The sequence below is a fragment of the Homo sapiens genome, chromosome 9 (genome assembly GCF_000001405.40).
Source record: "Homo sapiens chromosome 9, GRCh38.p14 Primary Assembly".
Lineage (NCBI taxonomy): Eukaryota > Metazoa > Chordata > Mammalia > Primates > Hominidae > Homo > Homo sapiens.
Genome location: NC_000009.12, coordinates 72,272,279 through 72,277,039, shown reverse-complemented (window position 1 = coordinate 72,277,039; position 4,761 = coordinate 72,272,279). Strand labels below are relative to the sequence as shown.

Here is a 4,761-nt window from a genome sequence, read left to right as displayed (position 1 = left end):
GATTGCATTGAGTAAAGTGAGCACAGATACTTTCCAACAGTCTGTCTCCAAAGGTTCTCACTAAGTTGACTTGAAATCAGTAATTGGGGGTGCAGTTATAAGAAACAGTTATTAGAAACAGTTATTCCTAGGGTGATCAATTCATTGTGGTTTGCCTGCGCCCCTTCCCAGTTCTAGTACTAAAATTTCCGTGTCCCCAAATACCCTCAGTCCTGGGAAACCAAGACAGTTGATGACACTACATATTTCTGATGGTTATGTTTCCAGAAGCCTAATTAATCCTTGATATAGCTGAAATTTAGTCCTGGATCATGGTTAAGATAAGATAGGTACTGTGGTAAGTTTGTAAATTTCAGGACTGATTAAGGAAAAGATGAGATGGCAATATTGCACAACAAGCTTATTTGATAGTGCTGTGACAAGGTTGCATAAGAAAGAAAGGGTGTTCTTCCTACCAAGAGCTGATCTAGAGAGAGCTGCAGGCATGGGGCCACCACCTGGAAGGGAAGAGGGAAAGAGAGCACTGAGTGGAGAGGGAAATGGGAGAGGAGGTACACGGGTCTAGGCAGTGTCACTCAGCAGCAAGGTGGGGAGCCTCTGGGTCAGAGTTCTGAAGAGCAGCAGGTCTGTTGGGGTTTTTAGTAGCTACAGAATGTATCTTATATATGGTTAACAGGTGTTGGGTGCAGTTTTGTGGGGTGTGCAAAGAAGTCAGGCTCTAATGGTCTAAAAATAGGCTTATTGGGGCTATATTTAAAGTAATATGTGTAAAAATTTGAATTGGTGCTGGCAGGCTTCGAGTTCATGGTCCTAGCCTGCTGCGAAGAAGTTCAACACATGAGGACCAAGAAACAGGGCCCATCTTTGACCCATTTACATCACATATGCATTCAGATTCCTTTTTGTTTGTTTATTTGTTTGTTTCCAGTTTCCAAAGGCTTTATTGGTAAATATTCTTTAGAAAAGAATGATCAATCCTGTTGCTTCCAAGTCAATGGAATGAAGAACCATGTCCAGGGACACTCCAAGCAGTGCTGAAGAAGACCGCTGCTGTGTCCACCTCTTGTTCATAGGCCCAGTCATAAGCACAAGACTTGTAATCAACCAGCTCTTCAGGTTAAGTTTTTCCCACCCACAGACTCTGACCTTGGAAATATGTAGTGCCATCAACTGTCTTGGTTTCCCAGGGCTGAGGGTATTTGGGGACATGGAGCCATAAACCATAGGCTGATTTATTTTTCAGCACTTTTTACTGAGTCACTGCCATGAATGATGTCCCTGCCAACCTGAATGCAGAAGTCCCCGCCACTGGTGCCTGGCTTAGAATCCGTTGGATTGGTCTCCCAAGCATCACTCGGCCTGTCTCCACTACACTCAGTCCCTCCTCCATGGCCATGAGTTCATGTACTTCACCAGCCCAGGGAGGAATGGACAGTCTTTCAGGTCAGGGTAGAGCTGCTTCAGGTGTTCCTCAGAGGCCCAAAGGTGGAATCCCTTCAGCTCAAAGTGCCTCATGACATTGCCCAGCAGGCCCCACCGCACACCGTGTGGCTTCATGGAGATAAAGGTGCGCTCGAGGTTGGACATGGTCTGGGAAGCTGATGGGGCAGGCAGTGGCTGCACTGCAGGAGCTGAGAGCTGCAGTGACCTGCACCCAGATTTCCTATCATGAGCATTAGAACACATATCTCTCCTGCTTCAGCCTTGCCAGTAAGAACAAGAACTCTCCTCTGCAGATAGCCCCTGCCTCACTCCTTCCCATTCTTGTGCTTCCTTCTTCATATACCAGTGATGAATTTCCCATGACTTGGGGAGAAAAATCCAACTGGAAGTGGAAGGAGATAGTAGTGGTGGTGGTGGAGGGGGTGGTGCGGGGTAGAGGAAGAGTTAGTGATGAATCATGAATACTTAGGTAATATAATGGGACAGGCTTGGGCAGGAAGAAACACTGGGGCAGGACAGTTCATGTGAAGAAAAAAAATGTTGTTCTGGGAGATGCAGGTCAGAGCAGGGCCGTTAAGTCAAAACCACCGGCACTGTAGAGATGAATATTGTAACCAGCTTTTATTTTAATTCAGGCTGTCCCCACATCCAACCCCCCTTTTTTAATTTGCAAGAATCCTCCACCTTGTGTGGTGTCCGTGGGATGTGGTACCTCAACTCTTACCAAAGAATATCAGGATGAAGTCTTCCTCCTTCACGCCCATCATGGAGGTGGGAGCACATGACCCAAGCTGGTTAATCCAATGCCCAGGGACCAGAGTTGAAGGGCAGTTAGCATCTTTCACCGTGTACCACATGGTTATGGTACCCAGCGATAGAAGAGGCATTCAGTACTGGCACGTCCTCTGGAAGTGGAGAGCTGATTTTGGATAGCCCTGGTCAGTTGCTGTTACTTGCATCAAACAGTCCTGATTACATCATGACCTCTCTTTGATCCAGAAGCTGTAAATTTCTACATGCCTTCAGGCAAACTCAGCTCTGTCTTCAAATAAAATAGAGGCAAATCAGATAGCTTTTTTCCCCTTAAAGACAAATTCCTTCCAAGGATTATCAATATATTTATTAATCTCTTCTCTTTATGGGCAGAAAAAAAGTCCCCATGAATTTAAAATGTGAAAATATATTTATTGACTTAAAGATATAATAATTTTAGGGAAGCAAAATAGTTGTGTTCAATTATTTTCACAGCAAGATGCCTGTAAAATGTATATAATTGGATTGATTGGCACTGTTAATGACTCTTCAGATATGTACAAATCTAGTCATACGCTCTAAAATTTGCAGAGACAAATCAATTTAATATGCTTTATTCACTTTCTAAGTTTAACATTGGGATATATTGTGATTGAATAAAACATTCAGATGTGCTCTAATTTACATTTTGCCCACAAAATAATTCCCAATTCTGCTTCATTCATACCATTGTTTAGTATTGTGGTTGTGTTCATCATTTCTTAGCAAGGAGAACATAAGTTTCATCTATTACCAGCTGAATGATTTGACTCAAAAGGCAATTAAAAATCACACTCTTGGGAGGCCAAGGCAGGTAGATCATGAGGTCAGGAGATCGAGACCATCCTGGCTAACACAGTGAAACCCCATCTCTACTACTGAAACTACACACACACACACACACACACACACACACACACACACACACACACACAGAGAATTAGCCGGGCATGGTGGCATGTGCCTGTATTCCCAGCTATTCGGGAGACTGAGGCAGGAAAATTGCTTGAACCCCGGAGGCGGAGGTTGCAGCAAGCCAAGATCACGCCACTGCACTCCAGCCTGGGCGACAGAGCGAGACTCCATCTCAAAAAAAAAAAAAAAATCACATTCAACCTAGACAGTGTTACCAGTTGAGCCACAGGTCAAGCCCAGGTTTAATGTAAAAGAGGACCACACTGGGAGTAGGCATGAAAACTGAGAGTCATGGTCCATTGGACACCATCTTTGAATGACTCACTTGGCCGCCTGCTTTTTATTTTCTCTATAAAATGGATTAACTATTGCCTGACTGTCAATCACTATCACTTTCAAGATATCTTCACTTAATAACAGGTTGTTATGAGGATTAAATAAAGCTTGGGAAAATTCTAGTGACTGCTCCCTATGGATGAACAGAGATAGACTTAAACTTGAAATGATACAAATCTAGTGAGCATAGAAAAATTCTGGATCCGAAGACTTCAGTGGGTTAAAAGGATGGACTTACTTTAGGAACATGCAATTCAATAGAGGTAGAAGAAAACTCCAACAGTTGGATCTATAAATACTAATGAAAAAATTGATGAGTAGATGAATGACTTAAGAGACCAATGTGGAAAAGAATGAAAGGTTTAAGTAGATAATAAAACAGTGAGATATGAAGAACTAAAAATACTTCATCCAGATTTTTTTAAATGCTTCAGTGGGACATAGTAGTTTTCTTCAAATATGTGAAGACTTTCATAAGCAGACATGGTAGACTTGCTCTTGAAAGGCGTATCAGCGGGTTAGAGGTGAAAGTCTGCAAGAACAATTCTGGCTACTCAAGAGATTTTCCAACTTGGCAAGAATGGAAAGAACCTTGGGACATAGTCTTGAGCTGCCCATCACTCTCAGGGCTTAAACGAGATTGAATATTCATTGCTGAAAATGTCAAAAAAGGGATTCAAAGATCAGTCAGCTGGCCAAGCAAGGTGATCTTTAGAGTGCCCTTCCAAACCTGAGATTCTAGATTTCCAAGCCTTGACTCTTAACATCTGTCATGGAACCATTATAGCACCATCTGCCCAATTTCCCCGCTGATGATTTCACCTGACTATGTAATCCTGGAAGAGGGGTGATGCCCATTAACTTGTAGTTGGTTTATATAAGCTAGAGCAAGCTGTGTGGTTTGAATCATGTATGTGTCCATAGGAATCTAAAATAATTGGCCAACTGTAAGCAGTGTTGTTGAATTTCATATTTGGTGAATATGTAAAATGCTTTGAATTACATTGAAACTTCCTAAGTTAACTTTAATATGTTCATGGACATTCATTATTTTCTCGTATTTCCACAAGTTAGAGATAGCTTTCCAATGGACAAATCTTTGCCTTTTATCTTAAGGAGCTGAGGTGATTCAAGCAAGCCATTTGGAAGTTCATAATTTTGTGGTTTTTTCCTTGTAAAATTGTCTTCACGAAGGAATTAAGTAAGCAATATTTGTTTTCATTGAGAATATAATTTTATTTACAACTGATCTATTGTAGAATTTGGGTTCAACCT

At 41.9% G+C, this 4,761-nt stretch overlaps 1 pseudogene; it reads right to left on the bottom strand.

The window, feature by feature from the left end:
* On the bottom strand, positions 1,212-1,654 carry LOC100289320 (NME/NM23 nucleoside diphosphate kinase 2 pseudogene; annotated as a pseudogene).